General features: G+C 50.9%; 2 long non-coding RNA genes across 2 annotated transcripts, besides 1 other annotated feature; one reads left to right on the top strand and one right to left on the bottom strand.

The window, feature by feature from the left end:
- Positions 1-8,154: 8,154 nt before the first annotated feature.
- LINC00112 (long intergenic non-protein coding RNA 112) lies at positions 8,155-9,301 on the bottom strand. Its single transcript, NR_024028.2, has 3 exons — positions 9,193-9,301; positions 8,563-8,736; positions 8,155-8,395 (listed from the first exon to the last, which is right to left on the bottom strand). It is a non-coding gene; the product is annotated as a long intergenic non-protein coding RNA 112 (long non-coding RNA).
- A 660-nt stretch (positions 9,302-9,961) lies between these two features.
- LINC00479 (long intergenic non-protein coding RNA 479) lies at positions 9,962-14,217 on the top strand. The gene is made up of 6 exons (NR_027272.1): positions 9,962-9,995; positions 10,454-10,617; positions 11,385-11,503; positions 11,605-11,717; positions 12,065-12,186; positions 12,737-14,217. It is a non-coding gene; the product is annotated as a long intergenic non-protein coding RNA 479 (long non-coding RNA).
- Positions 18,774-19,068: a silencer, noted in NCBI's record as "tiled region #2990; HepG2 Repressive DNase matched - State 8:EnhW". NCBI's record gives its function as "represses a minimal TATA promoter and a strong SV40 promoter by Sharpr-MPRA in HepG2 cells {active_cell/tissue: HepG2}" and the evidence as "EXISTENCE:reporter gene assay evidence [ECO:0000049][PMID:27701403]".

Raw genomic sequence — 25,905 nt, 5'->3', positions numbered from 1 at the left:
CTGTGATTCCCCCGCTGCAGGGGTGCTGAGGCTGAGCTGAGGGGGGTGGGGCTGACGCCGGAGGCAAGATGGGGCTCCCAGCAGAGTTAGAAGGGACAGGAATAGTGCTCAGGCTTGGGGCTCTCTGGTGGGGGCACCTGCCCGCCATCACGCTCAGAGGGCGTCTGGCCGCTGCTTTGCCTCGTGCACCGTGTGTAGCTGCGAGCGGCAGGGGAAGACACGGCCAACCTTGTGGCAGAGGGCGGCAGCAACTCCCAAGTTTCATCAGGCGGGGAAAGCTGCCTGCCAGATTCACCAAATAAAAGTACAGGACGAAAATGACTCCAGGACACTCAGTTACCTGTGAATTTCACATAATCAACAAATCATTGTTAGTGTGTGTCCTACTTATGGCATGAGACGTACTTATACTAAAAAGTAGTTCATTAGATATTTAATTCAATGTTTAACTGTTCAATTTTACTAACATTTTATTTAAATTTTCACTACATATATTCATTATATTTTAGCATAGGTATATTTCAAATATTGCATGGGACATACTGATATATATATATTTTATATATATATATTTATATATATTATATATATATATATTTTTTTTTTTTTCTAGAGACAGGGTCTCACTATGTTGCCCAAGATGGTCTCAAACTCCTGGACTCAAGTGATCCTCCCACCTTGGCCTCCCAAAGTGCTGGGATTATAGACATGAGCCATCACGCTCAGCCTTTAAATTTTTTTTAAATATAATTAGCTGAAATTCACATTTAGCTGGGGGCCTTGTATTTTATCTGGCATCTCTACTTATATCGCATTTCCCTAGTAATGCTTGGTTATTAGAAAATAATAAAATTTATTTTTAAATTCTCTGGAATTTGGATTTTCCCTCAATAAGTATATTCCCCAGGTTGAACTGTACCCCACTAGCAGAGAGTTTCCTTCCCTGCCTGACAGAGACAGCGTGCTCTGTCACCTGCAAAGCTGCACACAGCGGGAGGGAACGAGGAGGGATGCTCCTCACAGTGGCAAGTCTCCTGTTGCGTGTTGGTGCACCACTGGCCAGGGACTTAGGGGAGTGCTATGAGGGTCACAGAATCCCAGGAGACCCAGACCTGCATGCAGGGGCTGCAGGCTCCACTGTGAGTGCTGGGCCAGGAGCGAGGGGCCAGGGACAAGGGCACGGAGTTGGGTCAGGGACAAGGGCACGGATTTGGACCTGGTCAAAACCACTCCACAGTGGCCAGGCTCGGGAACCTGGCAGTGCCAAGCCTCTCCCAGCCTCAGTCTTTTCCACAGGATGGAGCGAGGACAGTGCTGGCTGCAGAAGAGTGCTGGGAGGATTGGGCGAGTTTTCGGGTAGACAGTGTGGCACACATCTGGCTGGCAGGACCAGCTCAAGTCCTGTTAGCCATTGGTCAAAGATGTCTGTTTACTGCCCTGAGAGAACTCAGCATTTTCCTATTAATGTGATTAGTCAGCCAGGACTGTCCCACAAGGCAAGAGAAGGATGGGGATCCTCATGAAGGTGGAGGAAACACTGGGGGAGAAGGTACCTAACAGGGCAGGCATCAGCCGTCTCTTTCCCCTAAGGCTCCTGATAGGGTCTGGCTGTGTTCCCACCCAAATCTCATATTGAATTGTAGCTCCCATAATTCCCATGTGTTGTGGGAGGGACCTGGTGGGAGATAATTGAATCACGGGGGCGGTTTCCCCCATACTGTTCTCGTGGTAGTGAATAAGTCTCACGAGATCTGATGGTTTGATAAGGGGAAACCCCTTTCGCTTGGCTCTCATTCTCTCTCTTGCTGCCACCATGTAAGAAGTGCCTTTCGCGTTCTGCCACGATTGTGAGGCCTTCCCAGCCATGGAGAACTGTGAGTCCATTAAACTTCTTTTTCTTTTCTTTTTCTTTCTTTTTTTTTTTTTTTTTGAGATGGACTCTTGATCTGTTGCCAAGGCTAGAGTGCAGTGGCACAATCTCAACTCACTGCAACCTCCACCTCCTGGGCTCAAGCGATTTTCCTGCCTCAACCTCCAGAGTAGCTGGGATTACAGGCATCCACCACCATGCTTAGCTAATTTTTTATTATTATTATTTTTAGTAGAGACAGGGTTTCCCTATGTTGGCCAGGCTAGTCTCAAACTCCTGACCTCACACGATCTTCCCGCCTTGACCTCCGAAAGTTTTACAGGCATGAGCCGCTGCGTCCAGCCAAACCTCATTTTCTTTATAAATGACCCAGTCTTGGGTACGTCTTTATCAGCAGTGTGAAAACGGACGAATACAGACCCCAACCTGCCTGCAGCACTGAGAAGTCCACACAGGGCAGCGAGTATGCTTGGGGTGTGGAGCCGCGAGCCTTCTCACGCTCATCCTACCGAGCCTCTTGAGCAAGGCTTTCAGCTGAGCCTGGTCCTCAGACTTCGAACCTGCCTCTTCACCCTCTCCTACGAAGCAAGGCCCAGATGTGGGAATTCTCACCCCTGCACTCCGATGAGGAGGCTGAGGGTCGGGGAGGCCGCGCACCTTCCTCAGAGCAGAGGCTTCAAGGCGGAGGCCAGGTTCCTACCTGGGCGGTCAGACCCAGAGCCCAGGCTCAGAGCCTCCATGCCTGCAGTTAAGCTGAGGGCAGATCCTATCTTATGGACTTTGGGGTCTTAATGTGAATTCACCCTATTAGAGCAGCTGGGGTGGGGTGGGGTTGTTTTTCTCTTTCCTAAAATCTCAGCGAGCTGCTGATTGTGTGCCTGCTACTTCAGTGCCTCTTCTTTTCCCCCCAACTCCCCACACTGTGCCATTCCAGAGCCGCGCGTCCATCCATCCTTCCTCCAGGCCAGGCCTGCCCCTTGGATGCCGGAAGTGGGAGTGTGTGTGTGCGGGGGGAAGTGGGGGGGTGTCAAAGCAACAGGCAGCATGTGTAGGACACACCATCTGTCCTTCAACCCACGCCACGGGCTCTGCTCTCCGTGTCCCTTTGGGAGTCCCTGGTGTCCCCCTGAGTCTGGGGCAGCCTTCCTTCTCTTCACGCCCTCCCCATATCCAGCCAAGCACTGGGTTCTGCTCCAAGTCTCCCTTGAATCTGAGCCCTGACCCCTGCTTTCATTCTCCCTGGGGAGGGCTCTAAGAGGCTCGAGGTCTCCAGGCCTCCCTCCGTCCGGCCTCTCTCAGCTCCTCTACCTGCAGCAACCCTGTCTCCAGCCCTATCTCTCATCCCCCTCCTTGACCCCCATCCCAGCCCCCACGTCTTCCATGGCCCGACTTGCACACTGAACCCCTCCTCCTGGGGCATCCTGCCTGGCCTGAAGCCCTGCCCTCCTCTGCCTGGCTGCTGCCTTTCTCCAGGAAGCCTCCTGGCCTCACCGTCCAGGTGTGATGTCCTTGCCTTAAACCCCATAGGAGAAGGCACTTTACCTTGAGGTTGTACTTCCCTGTGTATCTGCATAGGCAACCAGGGAGGGTGTGTCCCCGGACACCTCTTCCCTAGCGCCCAAGAGATTTCCAACAGAGGGCACCTCTCAACAAGAGAAAGGTCTTTTTCTTCACAGCAGGTTCCGGGCAGATCGATGTAACAAATGGTGGTAGAGAATTGGGAATGTTGAGGAGGAAAAGGAGGAGGGAAGAAGGGTGAGGGACAAGGGCCAGCACTGGGGCAGGGTGAGGGCCAGTAGCTCTGGCAAGGGACTTCAATAAGACAGGACAGGGGCTGGGTGTGGTGGCTCGTGCCTGTAATCCCAGCACTTTGGTAGGCTGAGGCGGGTGGATCCTGAGGTCATGAGTTTGAGACCAGCCTGGCCAACATGGTGAAACCCCATCTCTACTAAAAATACAAAAATTAGCTGGGCATGGTGGTGCCCGCCTGTAGTCCCAGCTACTAGGGAGGCTGAGACAGGAGAATTGCTTGAAACCAGGAGGCGGAAGTTGCAGTGAGCTGAGATTGCACCATTGCACTCCAGCTTGGGCAACAGAGCGAGACTCTGTCTCAAAAAAAAAAAAAGAGGTTTAATTGACTCCCAGTTCCACATAGCTGGGGAGGCCTTAGGAAACTTACAATCATGGAGGAAGGTGAAGGGAAAGCAAAAGGCGGCAGGAGAGAGAGGAGTGTGTGAAGGAGAAACTGTCAAACATTTATACAACCCTCAGATCTTGTGAGAACTCACTATCTCAAGAATAGCATGGGGGAACCGCCCCCACGATCCAGTCACCTCTCACCAGGTCCCTCCCTCCACACATGGATATTATGGGGATTACAATTTGAGATGAGATTTGGGTGAGGACACAGGCCCAAACTGTGTCATGGACTCTCTGCAGAGCCTCTCAACAAGAATGCAGCTGGGCCGACATCCAAATTCTACCCTCAAAGAACCCTGAGTGGAGAATCCAGCCCTGCTGGGCTGCAGAACTGTGAGCCAATCAATGGGCGTTGCAGGCGGCAATATTTGGGGTAACTTGTTATGCAGCAACAGAAAGTGAGTACAGGTGTCTGTGATTTGGGATCTTTCTGAAGCAACCTGAGCAGTTGCTGAAAACTGGGACATAAGCCTCGTCACTGCCAGCGCTTCTAAACCTCATTTGCTTCACAATAAACAGCAATAGCTACTTAGGAAGCAACTTTTTGGTACCAGGTACTAGACCTACATTATGAGTAAGAGGAAAAGTTCACCTCGACACTCCGGGGGTTTAGTGTTATTTTTCTGGCTTTCCTCACCAGGAAGCTCAGAAAGTCATTATTGACTCAGATCACCCACCAGCTAAGTGCTGGAACAAACACGGAAAGCCAGGCCTCCTGCCTCCAGGGTTTCAGCCGTTACCCCAACACCCTGTTGCCTCCAAGTTTACCTGACTGTGTTCAAAATCATTGCAGCTTTCTCGGCCAACAAGCTCATTAAAAGATGCTCACCGTTGTTAGTTGTTAGGGAAATGCAAATCAAAACCACAATGAGATGCCATCTCACACCCACTGTGCTGTCTATAATCAAAAAGTCAGACAATAGCAAGAGCTGGAGAAGATGTGGAGAAATTGGAGCCCTTGGATGCTATCCATGAAAATGTAAAATGATTGCAGTGCCTGTCTCCCAACTAAGTTAAGCATAGAATTGCCACATGACCCAGCCATTCCATTCCTGGGTTTATACCCAAGAGAAATGAAAGCATATGTCCACACAAAGACTTGCATGTGAATGTTCATAGCATTCCTATTTCTAATAGCCAAAAGGTGGAAATAACCTAAGTGTCCACCAACTGAGGGAGGGATACATAAATGTGGCCCATCCATACAGTGGAGTATTACTCAGCCAGGAACAAAGCACTGACACACACTACAATGTAGATGAACCTTGAAAACACTGTGCTCAGTGACAGAAGCCAGACACAAAGATCACCGATGATATGATTCCGTGTATAGAAAATGACCCAGATAGGCAGATCCATAGAGACTGAAAGAAGACTGATGGTTGCCAGAGGCTGGTGGGACATGGAGGAACTGTGGGGTGCTAGCTGAAGTATATGGGCTTTCTTTTGAGGTGATAAAAGTGTAGTAAAATTGACCATGTTGATAGTTGCACTACTGAATATTGTAAAAGCCATTGAATTGGACACTTTACGTGGTTACTATGGTGGATGAATTATATCTCAATAAAGCTGTTACCAAAAAATAAAAAAAATCATTGCTGCTGAAACGTAGCCCCCACACTGTCCTGTTCCCTGCTGTTTGGCTGTGGATGTAGCAGCTCCCTCGACAGATGCCATCCGTCAAAGTAGGGAGGCTTTGAGGAGCCCCCTCACCCCCATCCTGCAGAAAGACTCCCTCCAGGACCCCCTCTGAGTGTCCCTGGGAGCCTGTGCTCCTCCTCTGCTTCCAGGTCTGCAAGTGGGCAGCCTGCAACCTCCAGGATCTGATGTTCTTGACCTTGTCCTCACAGGGAGGGTCGCCCTGAGGACTTACGGGCCTGGATGAAATGGGTTTTTTTTTGTTTGTATGTTTTGTTTGTTTTTTTGAGACAGAGTTTGGCTCTGTTGCCCAGGCTGGAGTGCAGTGGTGTGATCTCGGCTCGCTGCAACCTCTGCCTCCCAGGTTCAAGCAATTCTCTTGCCTCAGCCTCCTGAGTAGCTGGGATTACAGGCACATGCCACTGTGCCTGGCTAATTTATTTTTATTTTTATTTTTATTTTTAATAGAGATGGGGTTTCACCATGTTGGCCAGGCTGGTCTCAAACTCCTGACTTCAAGTGATCCGCCCACCTCGGCCTCCCAAAGTGCTGGGATTACAGGCGTGAGCCACCACACTTGCCTTCTGGATGGAATGTTAACTGCTATTTTCTGAGGGTTAATCTCATGCAGGGCAAAGGACATTATCTCTGTGAACTGTGGTTATGGCCACACACAGGAGATATTCTGTGCACATTTTGCAGGCAGAGACTTTGGAGACCCTGCGGCAAAGAGGCTGAATGACACCCAAGGGGGCAGAGCCAGGGTAGAGACCCTGGGCTCTGACGCTGAGGTTCTTGCCGCTCTGTCCCATGGCTTCCTGATGGATTGGAAGTGACCACCAGAAGCTGGAGAGGGGCACAGAAGAGACATGCCTTCAGAGCCTCCAGGAGGAACCCACCCTGCCCACACCTTGATTCCTGACTTGTGGGTTTGTGATAGTTTGTTACGGCATCCACAGGGCACGAATCCTTCTGCAGAGTTAAAGGAAAGATGCTCCTGCACACTGTAAATGCTGATTAAAGCTATGTTTGCTTGTAGCTCTTCTAGAGTTACAAAAGCAAAGCAAACAGCCAGCCTCAGATAGTGCTTTGGAACAGGCCAGGTGAGGGGTGCCAGCAGGTGCCTCATGGTCCAAGTTTGGGGGAGCCACTGTGGCTGAGCGCTGGCCTGCGTGTGGTGGCAGTGCTGTGAGGCTGGGGCCAGCTGGCTCCCTTCTCAGGCCTTGTTCTCTTCTGCAAAATGAGGGGTTGGTCTTGATCATAATTACTCAAATTTAGTGTAGTAGATTGAGTAGTGGTCCCTCAAAAGATGTGTCCAAGCCCTACCCTCTGGTACCTGTGAAGGTGACCTATGTGGAAATAGGGTCTTTGCAGAGATAATTAAGAATCCCAGCCAGGCGTGATGGCTCTTACCTGTAATCCTAGTGCTTTAGGAGGCTGAGGCGGGCAGATCACTTGAGGTCAGGAGTTCAAGACCAGACTGGCTAAGATGGAGAAACCTTGTCTCTACTAAAAATACAAAAATTAGCGGGACGTTGTGGTGGACACCTGTAATCCCAGCTTCTCGGGAGGCTGAGGCAGGAGAATCTCTTGAACCCGGGAGGCGGAGGTTGCAGTGAGCTGAGATTGTGTTACTATACTCCAGCCTGGGTGACAGAGCCAGACTCCTTCTCAAAAAAAAGAAAAAAAAAGAAGAAGAATCTCGAGATGAGCTCATCTTGGATTCAGAGTGAGCCCTAAACCCAATGAATGGTGTCCTCATGAGATTAGCCAGACAGAAGGCAGGAGGGACAGACACAGGGGAGGAGAGCGCTGGGAGGATGGAAGTGGAGACTACAGAGAGGCTTCCATAGTCACGGGAGGCCAAGCATTGGCACGACCGTCAGAAGCTGGAGGCGGGCACAGAACAGACGTGTCCCCAGAGCCTCCAGGAGGAACCCACCCTGCCCACACCTTCCTTCCTGACTTGTGGGTTTGTGATACTTTGTTATGGCATCCACAGGGCACAAATCCTCCTGCAGAATTAAAGGAAAGATGCTCCTGCACGCTGTAAATGCTGATTAAAGCTACGTTTGCTTATAGCTCTTACAGAGTTATGAAGGCAAAGCAAATTTGTAAAGTTACAGCTCCAACACTGTAAAACCATTCAAACTAAAAACATGCTGTATGGGGACAGGTTCCACTGGGCTGCCTTGGCAGCCTGGGCTGAGGGGCCCAATGCTGGTGACTCACCTGCCCTCCCTCCCCTTTTCTCTCTGCCAAGCAGGAGCCACCTTTCTTCATGGCGGCCCTGCAGGCCCCAGGCTTGGTGTTGCGGGAAGAGCCTTTCATGAACAGGTCCATGTCGCTCTTTTCTCTCCAGCCCATGACAGAAGTGGAACACGGCCTGCACGGGTGGCACCAAGGCGGCATCATCAGGCTCTTCCCAATGTGAAGGAAGCTTTGACTCCATGGTGAACCCTTTATTGGGGGCTGACTCCAGGCCCGGCTATGGTTGTATTTTACAGAACTTGCTGGAGACACCTGTCTTGCTGGGCTGATGGATTCAGAACCAATGATGGGAACGGGGTCAGGTCCTCCGTCCAGTGAGTGAGGAGGGATTCCAGATGAGCCTCTGGACCCTCTTCCTATGCGCAGATGGCTTGTATCCTGAAGATGGAAACAGCCTGCTTCTTCACCGTCGAGACCCTGATGGAGGAAGGTGCTCCCCAGTGAGGCCGAGGGCCCCCTTTTCAGACATACAGTGGCACCTTGTTCCTCTGGGCTGGGTCTTTGCGGTAGGCCAGTGTTGTTGTCGTGGGCACCTAAGTTGTGGGCACTGGAGGGATGGAGGCCTTTAGGCTGCACCAAGTTACCTGCCTCGGCTTCTGGTTCCTCAACTATAAAACCAGATGGTCAGAGTAGGGAGCCTCGAGGGTCCCGTCCAGGTCTACAGGTGGATAACCTGTGCGCAGAGGCCACACTGTGAGAGAAGACCTGGTGGAGGATGTTTCCCGTGTCACAGCTGCAAGTAGGAAGAGTGTGAATCCCTGTGAATCGGCAGAGAAGAGCAAGGGGAGGGTTCAGGTGTAGGTGGGGGCGGGAGGGAGGATTAGGGGGAGGTGGTGTCAGTTTCCCAAGGCTGCTGTAATGAATATCCACAGACTTGGAGGCTTAAACAACACACACTGTCTTATGGTTCTCAAAATCAGAATGCTGAAATGGGTCTTGCGGGGTAAAATCTGTGAACAGTCATTTCTTCCCTCTCCAGGCCCTGATGGGGGAAGGGGCTCCTGGGCCAGTGTCAGCAGGGCCGGGTTCTTCTGGAGGCTCAGGGGAGAAGCTGCCTTCCTGTCTTTTCAGCTTCCAGAGGCCGCCTGCACGCCTCAGGGTCCCCGCAGCAGACCACATCACTCCAACCTTCGCTTCATCCTTGCATCTCCTCCTCCGCCTCCCTTCCTCCCTCTCATAAGGACCCTAGGATGACACTGGACCCCCCGACTGACCCAGGAGAATCTCCGCAACATGTGGGGAGGTGGAGTGATTGTGCAAAGCAGAGTGAGGTGGTGTTGCTGGAAGACTCGAATCACATCTGCAGGATCTCTGCGGAAGCTCTGGGGATAAGATTTGGCATCTTTGCAGTGGCCGTTATTCTGCCCACCGCAGGGGCCCCCATCTGATGATAGAGAAAAGGCACATAGAAGATGCTCGGAAACACGTGTTGAGTGAAAGAGTGAGTGGCTGTGTGGAGCCGAGACTAGGTTGGTCTGTGCAGGAGGTGTAACAAGAGCTGCATCTTGTATTTCTGCCTGCCTTCCTGCCTCTGCCATTGACTGGAGGTCAGCAGGTCTGACAGTTCCAGAAATAGAACTTCTGCTCTGATCTGATCCACACGAAGGTGAAGGTCAGGTGCAGGATCCTCCGCCCCCACCTTGTGGTTTCTGGGGGTGCTGAGCCAGGGCCCCACCTCTGCCCTGGGGGACACCCCCTGCCAAGTTTGCTTGGAGGCTCCTTTGAGCTCAGGCACGCCCAAGAGCCAGAAGGAGAGGACTTGTAAAGACAGGGACTGTAACCCCAGGCAGGCCTGTGTCCTGGCCCTTAGGGAAGGAATAATGAGTAGACTATTGTGTAAGAAAGATGAGAATCAGGCAGATAAAGGGCCCAGTGAAGCTGCCTGCCCCACTCCCTACCCCCAGGACTGAACCTTGGACCCCACCTAACATTCCAGCTCCACTGCGGTGCCCTGGTCTCCATGACAACCGGGAATCATTTTACAAATAGAAGATTGTGGATCCCTGGGAACGCAGAGGTGAGGAAGTCTCAGGAGTAAAGGTTTCATTTACGGCACCTTGGTGCGAAGGTGTCAGGCCAGGCCTTGGAGCCAAATTCTATGCAGAATGACCAAGTGCCGAGAGCAGAAAACACGGGCTATGTTCCTGACCCTTTGCCTGTTAGCCGTGTGGCTCTGGTTCTGGAGTGAAGGGAGCAGCAGGATGCTCTGGGCCTTAAGTGACAGAATTCCTAACTCTCTGAGACCAGAGCAAGGCTTTGGAAAGGCTGGAGGGAAGCCATTAAGTCGGTGAGGTTTTCCTGGCTTGCCCCATGGAGGCAAGATGGCTGCAGGGACTCCAGGCATCACGTCCATTGAGGACAACATCCAATGCACAAAGGAGGGCAGGTGGCAAAGGGGCTTCTCCTCTCACAGCTCTTTATCACAAACTGCTGCCTCCTCCAGCATCCCTCAAAGACCGCTTTGTTTCCCATCAGCAGGAATGCGTGGCAGGAAGGAATCTCCCAGGGATTCACAGTTCACCCCTAAATCAATCCGTGGGGCCCGAGGGGCAAAGTATCTGAGTGACCCAGCCCTCAGTCTTGTGTCCGTTCCTGAGAAGGAGCTCAGCCTTGCCCCTCAGGAGCTGCATGTACCAAATGTGAGTGTGTGTGTGCCTGAGTGTGCCTCTTCACCTCAGTGAGTGTGTCCATGTGTGAAAGCAGATGTTTGTATGTGCACAGGTGTGTGCTGTGTGCATACAAAGCGGGGGCAGGGCATGTGGGGATGTTGTACCTGAGCGAGTTAGAAAAACGCCACACTTTGAGATGAATTAGGAGTCCTCTATTAGCTGGCAACCAAGAGACAGCTAACGCTCAAAATTCTCTTGGCCCCGAGGAAGGGGCTTGATTAACTTTTACATCTTGGTTTAGGAAGGGGAGGGGGGTCTAGTTAGAACAATTTTACAGAAGTTAAGTAGTCAAAAAGTTAAAAGGACAAATGGTTACAGGAAAGTAAACAGTTCCAGGTGCAGGGGCTTTAAGACTATTACAAGGTGATAGACGCGGGGCTTCGGGCGTTATCATTCGGACAAATTCCTGGGAACTGCGGATCTAGCTCGCCACAGTATCTTATCAGTTAACTGCATTCTTGGATGTGCTGGGAGTCAGCTTGCACAAGTTAAGTCCTTGAGGAAGGGGCTGCCGGTGAAAGAGCCAAGATGGAGTTTGTGTGACTCTCTCAGCTAAGGGAGAAGCAAGGCTAGGTGAATAAAGGAAAAACAAGGTTGGGCATTACACGGAGGTGGAGTGATTGTGTAAAGCAGAGTGAGGTGGTGTTGCTGGAAGACATGGATGGAGGCATGACACAGACTGTCCACTGCAAAAACCATGGACGGAGGAGGCGTCACACAGACTGTCCACTGCAAAGACCACAGATGGAGGCGTGACACAGACTGTCCACTGCAGAGACCATGGACGGAGGCAGCCTCCGAGCCAGCCCAGCAGCCATGGACGGAGGAGCCTTGGAGCCAGCCCAGCAGCTCTCCTGTGAGTGGGGCCGGCACTGTCCCCAGCATTTGTGCCACCGGTGCTGTAGAAGGGCGGGGAGACAGCACATGGGGACTTGCCATTCCCGTTCTGTTCCGCAGCACTGGAGGGGTGGACGGGACAGGACCGGCTGCTCATTCCACGCTGGAGGGAGGCCAGGAGTCTCAGCTGGATGCAGTCACCTGACCTGGAGAGTTCAAAGTGCCTAACACAGGTGCTCACCCCTCTTCCCCCTCACCCCTGTCTGGACCTGGGACATGGAGCCTTCCTCTAAGTCTGGTCTCCCCGCTCCTCCAGGAAGGTCCTGGAGGGGATGGCCTGGGATGGGCTAGGACCCGGTTCCCACCTCAGGAGGCCTCTGGCCATGGAAGTGCTAAGGTGCCTAGTATCCGTCTGTCCGGGTGACTCTGGCTTGGGGGTTGGGTGGCCTTGCCTGCGTCCAGCGACATGGGGAGGTGTGTGTGGAAAACCAGATGCCACCTCACTCACATGGCGCGGGGCGGTGGCTGGGGGTTGGAGGTGATGGCTACTGGTTCCTCCCCCACTGGGGACCATTTCCAGGGATGCTGCTACCCACAAGCCTGGATCCTGGCGTGCTCCGCGGCTCTCCTTCAAGCCCTGGCCTCATCAGACCTCCAAGGCTCCCTAGACAGGGTTAATTATTCACGTGGCCTGGGACCCAGGTACAAAGTCTTCTCCTTCCCACATCTGCAGAAGCTGCTCTTGTGGATGGGGCTCCAAGGAGGAGAGGGCAATTGTTTTATTTTAATCATTAAAACATTTTCTGGGATATACGTGTTGGTTGAAAACAATTAGAAGGTATAGAAAAGTATAAACAAAAAATTAAAGACAAGCCAGGTGCTGTGGCTCACGCCTATAATCCTAGCACTTTGGGTGCCCAAAGCAGGCAGATCTCCTGAGGTCAGGAGTTCAAGACCAGCCTGGCCAACATGGCAAAACACCATCTCTACCAAAAACACAAAAATTAGCTGGGCATGATGGCGAATGTCTGTAATCCCAGTTGCTTGGGAGGCTGAGGCAGGGGAATCGCTTGAACCCGGGTGGCAGAGGTTGCAGTGAGCTAAGATCATGCCACTGCATTCCAGCCTGGGCAACAGAGTGAGACTCAGTCTAAAAAAAAAAAAAAAAATTAAAGACAAAAAATTGAAAACCACCTGTAAGCCCATCATTCAGAGACAGGCACTACTAACAACTCATGGTGTTTCCTTCCAGGGTTCGTTTGTTTGTTTTTCCCGACACAGTAGGGTCCACGAGGAAGTCAGGATCCACCGGCAATATTTGCAGTGTTATGTTGAATGTGGCAACTGGCTGCGTGAGGATAGAGAAGTAAACAGCATGTCCGGTGGCAGTCGGTTACCACACAGAATTTAGGAGGCCCAGTGAAATGCAAATGCTAGGTAAGTGACACGTAAGTTTTTGATATAAGCATATCCCAGGCAACATTTATTTATTGGAAATTGAAACTCACATTTAACCGGCCATATTATTTTTTTTAAATTTTTTTGTTCTCTAAATCTATCTTTTGTTTGCCGAATTTCTAGCAACCTTAGATGGAGAGGTGGCTCTGAGATTAGCATCCCCACAGGCCCACCTCTGGCTGGAGAGACAAAGGGAGGTGGGGTGCTGCCGGGGAGGGAGAGCCAAGGTCTACTTCCACGCCGCTCCCAGACCTGGGGCCAGAGGCCCGCTTGCTGGGGGCTGGGGCTCAGAGGGGAGCGAGCGGCTGCTGTCAGGCTGTCTGAAAATGCTGTGCGGATTCCCCGATTTTCTCTCGCCTGGCAGGTCACCTGGCCCACACTCTCCTCCCCTGATCCCCTGAGTGCTCCCCTCCCCCTGCAGGTCCCCCTCCCCTCTGGGTGAGCCTGGATGCCAGCACCCTGTTCCGCCCGCCCAGCATGCAGAACAAAAGCACAACGCACAGAAACACAGCCGGTGCGCGCAGGGCGGCAGGCTGGCTTCTCCCTCCCTCCTGCCGAGGTCTCCGGCCCCTTCCCCCTTCCCTCCTTCCCTCCCCTCTCCTCTTCTATTAGAAAATGGGAGTGTTAGGGTTGAATTGTGTCCCCCCAAAACAGGTATGTTGGGGTCCTGATTCCCAGTCCCCTAGAATGTGACCGTGCTTGGAGATAAGACCTTTACAGAGTAACTGATTAAAATGAGGTCATTAGCAGGGACCCTAGTGCAGCATGACTGGTGTCCTTTCAAAAAGGAGAAATTTGGATACAGACATAGACACACACTGAGGGAAGGTGAAGTAAAGGGGCAAGGAGAAGACGGCCTGCAACGGGAGTGACGCCCTTACAAGCCGAGGGACGCCTGGCAGTGCCAGCTGACACCAGGAGCAGGGAGAGGCCAGGAAGCCTGGCAGTGCCAGCTGACACCAGGAGCAGGGAGAGGCCTGGAACGGTTCTCCCTGGAGACATCCGGGACACACCTTGATTTCAGGATTCCATGATAGCTTCCAGAACTGCCAAAGAACGCATTTCTGTGTTTTCAGCCACCCAGTCTGTGGTATCTTGTGACTGCCGCCCTAGGAAAGTAAAACAAGGAGTTAATTCATGAAGGGTGGGGGAAATACGTACCCTTTGAAATACCACCTAGAGGAAGGGGTAATAGTACACCCGATCATGTGCTCCAGTTTATGAAATAGTTGCACGTCACTCGGAATTTTGAAAAACAATATATTTTCAGGACTCAAAAGATTTGCTTGCTATGGACTTGTCTTGCAAAATAAAGAATCTCTTTGTAGACCACATTCATAGATGTATTTCATGTATGTTGACATTGATTTGGCTTGCTCAGAAATAGGAAACGTGAGAACTTGAATATCATGGCGTTTACAAAGCCAGTGAGGTCAGTTCCTCTCCTGGGCCTCAGGTGCAACCATTGGCCGCCTGGCCTACCTCTGGAAAGCGTTTGGAGAGGGCGTGAGTTCTTGCACCCACCCTCTGGTTTTGCAAGCTCCCTCTGCCATGGCTGGTGGAAGGCTGTGTTGGGGAGGTGGTGGAGTCACAGTGGCCTCCACTGTCAACGGTGCAGATGCCTGCTGTGGAAGGTATGATGTGCTGGATTCTGAATGCAGGTTGGGGCTATTTTTAGCATCTGGACCGGGCAGCAGGAGGCTGGGGGTGAGGCAGAGGGAGGGACAAGGCCAGCATGATTTGCTGCTAGTGGAGCTGGAGGAGAAGGCACCCACACGCTGGCTGGCCGCCCTCCTTTCCTGCTGGAGTTCCTGGTGAGTGCTTCCCCGGGGGCTGAGTTGTAGCTGTCTCCCTAAACACCTGGAAGGGTGTGGAAATGGGAAGTGACTCGAGGGTTTGGGCCCTGCGCTGCTCGGACTCGAAGGACAGATGGCCCAGACCTTGGGAAGGATGGTTCTGCCCCATCTGGTACTGGACTCCTGACTCCTGGGAGGCCTGTTGGTCGGTGGTGAGCGGCTTTGCCACATGTCATGACACATGGACATGACGCCACACTGCCTCAAGGGGCACTTGTGAAGGCCAAACTAGAAATGGATGAGCAGTGCTTAGCCCATGAGGAAGTGACACACCAGTGACAGCCTTGATGGCGGGGCCACGGGCTGAGAGGGTCTGGTCCCTTGGCTGCCACCAGCCTCCCAGGGCGTGTCTGCCACCAGCCTCCCAGGGCTGGGCAGCAACCATCCACAGGACTGGGGCTCAGCCTCTCTCCCTTTGTGGGAGCCACTGTTTTCTAAGGGTGTGGACATACATGTGGTCTGCTCCCTCCCTCCATGTTTCCTGGGCTGGAGAAGACCTGAGTCAGCACGTGAACGAGGAGAGGAGGCGGCTCTCCGCAAAGAAACCTAAACACAAGGTCTGATTCCCACTTCCCAGAGCCTCCTTCAGGGAGGCCATTGGCCCAAACCACTTTACAGTCACAGACTATTTGTGCGGAGGGAGACATTCCAGATCATCTTGCTTGATGCTTGCCAGTACATCAAGATGGTTCCTTTTTGTTGTCACTTGGAAAAAAGCTTGAAGGATAATACTCTTGGTTAAATGAACTGCAGGACTTTTCAGGGCCTTGACTAAACCCACATGATCAGGGTGTCAATAAATAGCGGTGTGGTATTCAGTATTCCACAAGTTTGTTGATTGAAACCTTTTACAATTTTATTTTCCCTTTATTTTTTAGAGATGGGGTCTTGCTCTGTCATCCAGGCTGGAGTGTAGTTGCATGATCATGGCTCACTGTGGCCTGAAAACCCTGGGCTCATGTGATCCTCTTGCCTTAGCCTCTCCAGTAGCTGGGTCTACAGGTGCATACCACCACGCCCGGCTAATAGTTTAAAAACATTTTCTGGATATGGGGTCTCCCCATGTTGTGCAGGCTGGTCTTGTGAGCCACTGCATCCAGCCTGAAACCTTTTAAAAGTCAGGCTTATTGAGATATAGGCTGGCGAGGTGGCTCATGCCTGTAATTCCAGCAATTTAGGAGGCTGAGGTGAGAGGATCATTTGAGGCCAGGAGTTTGAGACCAGTCTGGACAACATAGCAAGACCTCATCTCTACAAAAAAATTAAAACTAGCTGGGCATAGTGGCACACGCCTGTAGGTCCTAGCTACCAGGAAGTCTGGGGTGGGAGGATTGCTTGAGCTGGGTGACAAGCAATAGAATGAGACCCTATTAAAAAAAAAAGATAGAGTTATATAATCAACATACGGTAAAACTCATTGTTTTAGTGTACAGTTCTACGAGTTTTGACAAAGTTCTATGAGTTTGACGAAGTGGTCACAGTTGTGTAACCACCACCATAGCCAAACATAGACCACATCTATATCACCCCCAAACCACCCCCACACTCCTTGGCAGCCAGTTCCCAGCTCCCACTCTCAGCCCCTGCAACCACCAATTTGTTCCCTGTCTCTACAGTTTTGCCTTTTCCAGAATGTCCTCTCCATGGGATCTCAGCGTGTGGCTTTTGGTGTCTGGCATCTTTCACTCAGCGTAACACGTCTGAGATTCATCCATGTCGCTGTAAGTGTCAGTAGATGGTTCCTTTTTGTTGCTGAACAATAATATCTGCTGTTAGGGTTCCCCACAGTTTGCTTATCCACGTCCCAGCTGATGGATATTTGGGTTGTCTCCAGTTTGGAACGATTATGAATGAGCAGCCAGAAACATTTGTCTCCAGGTTTTTCTGTGATCTCTAGGCTTTGTTTGTTTGTGTTTGTTTTTGTTTTGTTTATGTTTTTGAGACAGAGTCTTGCTCTGTTGCCCAGGCTGGGGTGCTATGGCATGATCTTGGCTCACTGCAACCTCCGCCTCCTAGGTTCAAGCAATTTTCCTCTCTCAGCCTCCCGAGTAGCTGTGACTACAGGTGTACACCACCACACCCGGCTAATTTTTGTATTTTTAGTAGAGTCGGGGTTTTGCCACATTGGCCAGGCTGGTCTTGAACTCCTGACCTCAAGAGATCCGCCCACCTCAGCTTCCCAAAGTGCTGGGATTACAGGCGTGAGCCACTGTGCCTGCCCTGATCACTAGTTTTTACTTTTTGGGTAAATATCCAGGATTAGGATTGCTGGGTCATTCATTAAGTATCTGTTTAACTTTATAAGAAACTGCCCACCTATTTTCCAAAGTGGCTATTGCATCTTGCATTCTCGTTGGTGACTTGTGTGAGCTTCACTGGCTCCACGTTCTCACCAGCTTGGATTGCTTGAGCCAAGGAGTTCAAGACCAGCCTGGGCAACATAGTGAAACCTGTCTCTATAAAAAAATAAACAAATTTAGCCAGGTTTGGTGGTGCGTGTCTGCAGTCCCAGCTACTCAGGAGGCTGAGATGGGAGGATTGCTTGAGCCTGGGAGGTCGAGGCTGCAGTGAGCCAGGATTGCACCATTGCACTCCAGCCAGCCTGGGTGACAGAGTGAGACCCTGCCTCTGTCACAAAACAAAACAAAACAAAAAACCCCAACAAACAAACAAACAAACCACCCCCCAAAAAAAATCTGCTAGAGATCCTGGGAAATACTGTTGCTGACATTGCAGCCACCCTGGTTCCTCATCATTTCTTTCCTTCCATCTCCTTGGATTGTGAACAAGAGACTGGAGGTGGAGTGGGTGTCCTGTGACCAGGAAGCCTCCATGAGGAAGAAAGTGACACAGGATGGCAGAGCAGCAAGATAGAAGGAGCTTGGGGTCCTGGTGACATCCTGGGGAGGCTGTACAAGCCAGGACTGCTTGCTTGGGTAAGAAAATTAAAGTGCTGTTTGGTTGAGCCCTGGAATGGGGTTCTGGTTCATGCAGCCAAAGGTGATCCCTGGTGATGTGCTGGCACAGCAGAACAGTGAAAGCTGAAGCAGCACTGACTGCCAAAATGATCTCCAACTACACAAGCCTCGGGCACAGCAGCTCCAGAATGGCCGAGGAATCTGAGGCACCAGGGGTCTCTGAAGGTGGGGATGAGGGGCTGGCTTCATACTGTAGTAGTGGCTGAATGTATTGTCAGAGACACTTAGTCCCTGAGACTTCCTCGTTATCCACCTGGCTAGATGACTCATCCACCTCACTGAAGAGAACTCAGGAAGTGCACACTATAGAGAAATTGAGCCAGACCAGCTCTGGAGTTGGCACTCAGAGCGAGCAGAAAGAGGAGAAAGATGCCAAAAGACAAAACAAAACAATACCGACCTGCAGGACATGAATTTCCTTACTGAAAAGGCAAGCCACATTTTCAAATAATAAATGAAAAATCAAATGTAAGGGTAGAACAAAGATGTTTGAAGGTATGCAAGATGAAATCATTGAACCTCACATGCATTCTTTCTCAGCAAGTTCCTGTGGTATGGGTGTCACTTGCACAAGGAAGTAAACCCCAAAAGAGAAAGATGTGAGGCACAGGACACATTAGATTTAGCACCAGAAAAATACGAAGGAATTCTCACTGAAGTTGAAGGGAACTTTCAAGGGGGAGCTGTGCCACAAGCCAAGAGGTCAGCCAGCCCAGATACAAATAGGACAGAGAGCTCTGGAGGGGATGTCTCCAAGGGGAAGGACAAACAACAACAAAGCAACAACAAAAGAATGATTACTTAGTATGTTTGACTTTGTTGAGAGGACTTTTATAGGTCTATCAGAAAATTGGGGGGGGGATAATTGGTAAGTAGTAGACAAAAAAATTAAGTTTATGAAAAAATGAGGCAATTGTTAACCCCAGGAAAATCAAAAAGTTGTACTAAAAAGAAAAGACCATCCTAGTTCCCTAAGTGGTTTAGTTGTGACAACATTTATGGTGGTCATAGTAATATCAGAACTAAATATTGACTTGGCCAAAGGTTGCGAATTGTGTAACTGTGTAAGTTGTGAAGATGCTGGGTAGGTGGAATAGGTGGGAGTGTGTGGGAGGTGGTGGTGTAAGTGAGATAAAACCGAAAGGAATAGTACTGTAATCATGTTGGAAGTGTGAAGGTCAAGGTCAAGAGAAACAGCTGAGAGACTTGAAGGCCGATGACTCACAGGGGAGGGAGCTGGAGGTGGGAAGAGGTGCAGTGATAACAACTGTTTATTATCACAAGCCTTGCAGCACTACTTGACTATTAAAACAATGTTATAACAATCAAATTTTAAAAGGAAGAAATAATAACTTGGTGAAAGGGACGTTCTCTCTTCTCCAGAGAAAAGCAGCACAGTGTACCTGGGCATTTCTGTGTTGGTCTTAGAAACCCAAGCCCATTCGCCTGCCTGGGGGCCTCCAGCTGGCTGGAGTCTGAGCACTGGCCTCTGTGGCTGAAGCAGGGTCATCTCTCGCCCTTTGTCCATTCATGGACTGGCACAGGTGGATTTATGGCTATGTTGTCAGCCACCTATGAACAAGCGAGGGGTGCCAACAGGCCATGCTCTGGCAAACAGCCAATGTGGAAGACAGAGACTGTCCCTTGCACACTCTCCTGCTCCTCTCTGTCTTTTTCAGTCTTCTTGTTTTCCTTCCTAGTGGAATCCAAATGCTGGTGTTGAGACGGTAGGCAGGCCTGGGGGCTCCCCCGTACTATGCAGGTTCCTGCTCGGCGTTTCCCGTCCTGTTCACTTACTCCCACCTGCCTCCTTTGGGCTTTGGAGCGGGGACCTCCTGCAGCCAGGCCCCTAGAGGAATTCCTCAGATCCCTGCTGTCCCAGGGAAGAGTGCGGAAAGGAAGGGGTGGGCTGCATCCCTGTGCTCAGAACAGACACAACCACAGGGTTGTGGCTGATTTTGTGCCCAACTCTGAGAAATTGGAGCCAAGCAGGTCACCCTCTGCATGAGTGTCCCATGGCTGGTGCCACAAATTTTACAAACTGGGTGAATTCAACAACAGATTTTTTTTTCTCATGGTTCTGGAGACCAGACATCTGAAATCAAGGTGTGTGTGGGGCTGTGTTCCGTCTGAAGGCTCTGGGGAAGGACAGTTCCTTGCGTCTCTCCCATGTCTGTCAGTGGCCCGTGGTCCTGGGCTTCCGTGGCTGGTGGCTGCATCACTACATCCCCACGTTGGCCTTGGCCCGCCCGCTTCTGTGTGCCTCCTCACTTCATCCTCCCTCTACTCAGGTCTGTGTCCAAACTTCCCTCCTACAGGGACACCAGTGTTATGGGACTTAGGGCCCACCCTAACCCATCATGACCGCATCTTAACTTGATTCGTTTCTAAGACCCTCTTTCCATATAAGGTCTCATTCACAGGCACCGGGTTTAGGACTGGGACATATCATTTGTGGATACAATTCACATACAGCATTTTCGTCACTGACCTCCTCCTCCACCCTCATGGCTGCTCAGAACTTTCCACCCTTAAAAACTCCTCTCATCAACATGCTTCGCTAGCACAGTCCCACTTTGTCCTCTTCCCTTGTCACCAAACTTGTTGAAGGTCCTTTATACCTCAGCTTCCCCTGATACATTCCTCTGCCATCACCATCTGCCTGACCTGTGCCTTCTGGAAGGTGCCTGGCGGGAGGGGGTTTTCCTTGTGTCTGGTCCTTTGCATGCTCTGTGGCTTTTGAGGTGGGTGTTGAAGGCTATACAAGCCCACCCTCCCCCCACCACCCTCGGCTTGGCTTTGACCTGTGTGTACCCGGCATGCTGCACATGCTGTGTGTTTGTGTGTTTGTGTTTGTGTTTGTGTGTGTGTGAGGGGGACAGCCTTCTTGGGATTGCATTGTCCTGAGGGCACCCCTGAGTCCTCTGCACCGCTCAGCCCAACAGCAGAGACGGACAGACCCCAGAGAACCCGACTGGAATGGCTGGAGACTCTCCATTGGATTTTTGCCTCCAGGGTGAGCTTAGGACCCACATGGCCGGGCTTTGGGCTCATTGCTGGAGAGCTGCACCTGCTGCGGAACTCAGAGCGTAGCCTCTGGCTGGATCACTTCATTCCCTTGGCTCTGCCAGCACTTGTCAATCTCCAAAATCCAATCCACCCTTGAAAAGCAGAGGTTAATCAATGTGCTAGGGACAGAGAGGGGGCCACGGAGTGGACATCTCAATTTACTGAGTGACACCAGGCCAGTGACTTGACCTTTCGGAACAGCTTCCTGACCTGGAAGGTGGGGGTGAAAGTGCTTTCTTCATGGGTGGCTGTGAGAATTAATGAATTATTACAAGCAAAATACTTAGGCACAGTGGATGGCGCATAATAAGACCTCAATAAATAGTAGTGATCACTATGAATATAATGTAGTTTTCCAATAAGTGGGTGGCCCCCTGAACTCTGTGGTGTCTGTTTGAGGTCAGGTGTGTGAGTCGCCTGGCACACCTGCACTCTCTTTGTTTGCCCAGGTAATTGCTCACCTCCTGCAGGGGCTATTCTGGGGCCAAGCGACTCCTCCCTGGGCCTGGACAGGCAGTCCTGGGCCTGTGACAACACTGGGATCATAAAGACAAACAGGTTGGCCCTGTCAGCTGAATTCACCTGGGTCTTTGGGAAAGTCCCCACCGCAGCCATGTCCTGCGAGAAGCTGGGAGTTTTGCAGGTTGCAGGCCCTGCCTGCCACAACTTCCCAACACGTGGGGCTTCCTCGAGGCCAAGGCACTGAAGGGGCCACGGGCAGAGTGGCCCAGCTTAGGACTACAGCTGCAGAGCCAGGCTGGGCGGGGGCATGGTGGGGTGGGGGGAGTTGGGCAGGCGGGTCTCTCGCTGGCAGGGTGTTTCCCCTCCCCACCTCTCACGCCTGGGTGTGGAGGAGTCAGCCTGGTGTGTGATGCGAGGGGTCTGTCATCTGGGGCGGGAGTGAGCCTCCGTCTCCCGGACCTTGGCTCCCCCCACTCCCTCCCTCGTAGGCCTGGCTGCTGCCTGGCCCTTGTCACCCTGGACAAGTTGATGACACACGGATGGACATTCGCTCAGGTGTTCAGGGGTTGGGGAATTATTCCTCCCATAAATGTTGCTTTTAAAAAACTATTGTGATAAAATATCTAACATGAGATTTACCATCTTAACCATTATTAAGTGTACAGTTCATCGGTATTAAGGACATTTGCATTGTTTTGCAACCATCACCATCATCCACCTCCAGAACCTTTTCATTTTCCTAAACTGAAACTGTCACTCCACGAAGCACTCACTCCCCATTCCCCCTCCCCAAGCCCTGGCACCCACCCTTCTACTTCCTGTCTCTATGGATTTGACTACTCCGGGGACTTTATATAACTGGAATCAGACATTATTGTTCTTTTCTGTCTGGCTTTTTCACTCAGCATAATGTCCTCAGGGTTCATCCATGTCGGAGCATGGGTCAAGATTTTCTTCCTTAAGGCTGACGAATATTCTGTTGTATGGACAGACCATATTTTGTGTATCTGCTTATTTGTCAGTGGACACCTGGCTGCTTCCACCTTTGGACTGCTGTGAATAGTGCTGCTATGAAATGGATGTGTGATTGTCTCTTTGAATCTCTGCTTTCAATTCTTTTGAGTATAAACCCAGAAGTGGAGTTGCTACATCATACGGTAATTCTGTGTTTAATTCTTTGAGGAATTGTGGATGCTGCATTTTTCTTTTCTGAGACAGCATCTCACTCTGTTGCCCAGTCTGGAGTGCCATGGCACAATCAATCTTGGCTCACTGCAGCCTCAACCTCCTGGGCTCAAGTAATCCTCACACCTCAGCCTCCTGAGTAGCTGAGACTACAGACAAGCCACCATACCCAGCTAATTGTTTAATTTTTTGTAGAGATTTGTTGAGGTCTCGCTGTGTTGTGTGGGCTGGTCGGAAACTCCTGGGCTCAAGCCGTCCTCCTGCCTTGGCCTCCTAAAGTGTTGGGATTACAGGCATGAACCACTGTGTCTGGCCATGAATGCTGCATTTAAAGCAGGGATTTAAGAATGTGTCAAAAGTGGGAATGAAGACATGTTGCACAGAATGAAAAGGGTGCCCGGATCATGTCTGTCTGGCTCTCCATGACCACAGACAAGTGATTTCACCTTTCTGAGCTTCTGTTTCCTCATCTGTAAAATAGAAGTGCCTTCTTCCTTGTGCTGTGCGGGGTTTTGAGAAGAGGTAACTTAGTTTGGAAAGTGCTGAGCCTGGTGGTTCAGAGCCGGGGTTGGAAACCATGCCACCGCTCTTGTTTTTGCACTGCTGGAGAGCCAGGAATGGTTTTCTCACATTTCAAGTGTTGTAAAAAATGAAAGAATAGGTGACAGAGACCACATGTGACCTGCAAAGCCACTTTTTCCTCCCAGGCCCTTTGTAGGGAAAAGTTTGTGTTTTAGTTTAGAGATGGGCTTTGAAATCAGACGCTTGTGTTCCTGGGTGCCCTCTGCCTCATATAAGCCTCCTGACCTTGACCAAGTACTCTGTGATATAGTTTGGCTGTGTTCCCACTCAAATCTCATCTCAAATTGTAATTCCCATAATCCCCATGTGTCATGGGAGGGACCCAGCGGGAGGTAATTTGACCATGAGGGCAGTTATCAGGGATAGTGAGTGCTCATGGGATCTGACGGTTTTGTAAGGGAATTTTCCCCCTTCTGCTCGGCACCTCTCCTTGGTGTTGCCGTGTGAAGAATGCATTTATTTCCCCTTTCACCATGATTGTAAGTTCCCTGAGGCCTCCTTACCCATTCTGAACTGTGAGTCAATTAAACCTCTTTCCTTTATAAATTACTCAGTCTTGGGTACGTTGTTATTAGCAGCATGAGAACGGACTAATACAGTAAATTGTATTGCTCTGTGCCTCCGTTTCGTCATCTGCAAAATGGGCATAAGAATCCCACGGGGTTCGTCATCGAACTTGCATCAAGTCACTGCTTAGCAAGGCAACCCCAACTACCTCATTTCAGTTGTGACACACTCAGCTCCTTCCAGCACATTCTACAATGCGTGTCTTGTGTTTGCTGAGTCATGCAGTTAGGACATGAGGCTCTCAGTGACAGGGGTCTTCACAGGCTTTGTGTGCTGATGTGTCTCTGGGGCGTACGACAGCACTCTGCAGAGAGCAGGCACTCAGTATTTGCAGAGTGAATGCAGACCCCACAGGGTTATATGAGAACAAGATGGGTTAATACTTGGGAGACATTGAGAGCAGTGCCCAAGACCCCCAGGCACGCTGGGGGAAGCCTTACTCCAGGGAAGGTTCCTGGGGTGTCTGCTCTGGGTTCTGCTTCAGCCAACACAACTTGGCAGATCCAATGCTAGGTGGCACAGTGGAGAAGGCCAGTAGACCTCCTGGGGCACGCAGAGAGGCATGGTGTCAAAAGGGGTGCTGCTGGCCAGATGACCCAAGGCCAACAGTCAGCTCTCCTGGGACCTGCCCAACGGGTCCCCGACACCTTTTTGAGCATCACCCAGGAGGCTGCCAAAGACCAAAGCATTAGTCCTGTTACCACCATGGGTCACAGAATCTGAAGCTGCCCTTTGCAGAAGCCCAGCTCTGCCAAATTTGCAACAGTTGACAAATGCCTCTGCTCTACTCACTCATTTCAGTGGAGGTAATAACCTCTTAATGATGACCCTACAGGGAAGAAATCATCCCCATTTTATAGATGGAGGTACGGAGGCTCTCAGAGGCAAAATGACTCACCCAAGCTCTCACTGTTACTAAATATCCATTACTTGGACTTGATCCCAGGGTGGTAACCACTGGATCTGCTGTTCAGAGAATGAGTGAATGGAAGGTGCATGTAAGAAGGAGGCGTCGGAATCACCGGTGTTCTGGGGAAGGGGTAGGGAAGACACTGCATCTCCTGGAAGGACCAAGGATGGGGTGGGAGGTCCTTCTTGGGGCAAGACCTGTGGCTGGGAGGAGAGGATGAGGGGAGTGGAGGTTGACTTAATGTTGCAAAGAGACACAGACTCTGAGTGATGACTAATTTTAGGTGTCAATTTGACTAGACCATGGGGTACCCATATTAGGCATAATTTCTGGGGGTGTCTGTGTGGATGTTTCCAGAAGAGATTAGCATTTGAAGTGGTAGACCCAGTAAAGCAGATGGCCCTCCCCAGTGTAGGTGGGCATCATCCAATCGCCTGAGGGCTTGGATAGAACGAAAGGTGGAGGAAGGGGAAATTGACCCTGTATTAGTCTGTTTTCACGCTGCTGATAAAGACATACCCGAGACTGCAAAGAAAAAGAGGTTGGATTGGACTTAAAGTTCCACATGGCTGGGGAGGCCTCAGAATCATGGCAGGAGGTAAAAGACACTTCTTCCATGGCGGCAGCAAGAGAAAAACAAGGAAGAAGCAAAAGTGGAAACCCCTGATAACCCATCAGATTTTGTGAGACTTATTTAGTATCACGAGAATAGCATGGGAAAGACTGGCCCCCATGACTCAATTACCTCCCCCTGGGTCCCTCCCAAAACAAGTGGGAATCCTGGGAGATAACATTCAAGTTGAGATTAGGGTGGGGACACAGCCAAACCATATTAGTCCTCTCATGCCTCCTGTCTGCTGAGCTGGGACATCTCCTCTCACCTTCTCTGACCCTGGGACTGAGAGTTCCACCATCGCTCTCCTGGTTTTCAGGCCTTTGGATTCAGACTCAATCTCAGCACCATCACCAGCACCCTTGGTCCTCCAGCTTGCAGATGGCAGAGCGTGGGGCTTCTCAGCCTCCATAGCCATGGGAGCCAGGTCTTCCCAATAACTTTCCCTCCCTCCTTTCTTCCCTCTCTCTCTAACTCCTACTGATTCTGTTTGAGAAATCTAAATACCCTTCGCTTTGATGACCTATGGCTGCACACTTGGAGGAAACGTCTTCTGACTGGCTGGAGGCTCCTGCACTTGCCCCTAAAGACTGTGATGGGGGACAGAGTGCTTCGGGCATCAAACCCAAAAGGCTCTCATTGACTCTTCGTGGCCTGTCATCGTGGCCTCTGGGAGTTGACTTAACCTCACCAGTGTGCTGACCTGACTCTTCATGCAGCCCAGGTCATTGTTTGTGGTTC

The sequence above is a fragment of the Homo sapiens genome, chromosome 21 (genome assembly GCF_000001405.40).
Source record: "Homo sapiens chromosome 21, GRCh38.p14 Primary Assembly".
NCBI classification, from domain to species: Eukaryota; Metazoa; Chordata; class Mammalia; order Primates; family Hominidae; genus Homo; species Homo sapiens.
This window is presented reverse-complemented; position numbering and strand designations above follow the sequence as displayed.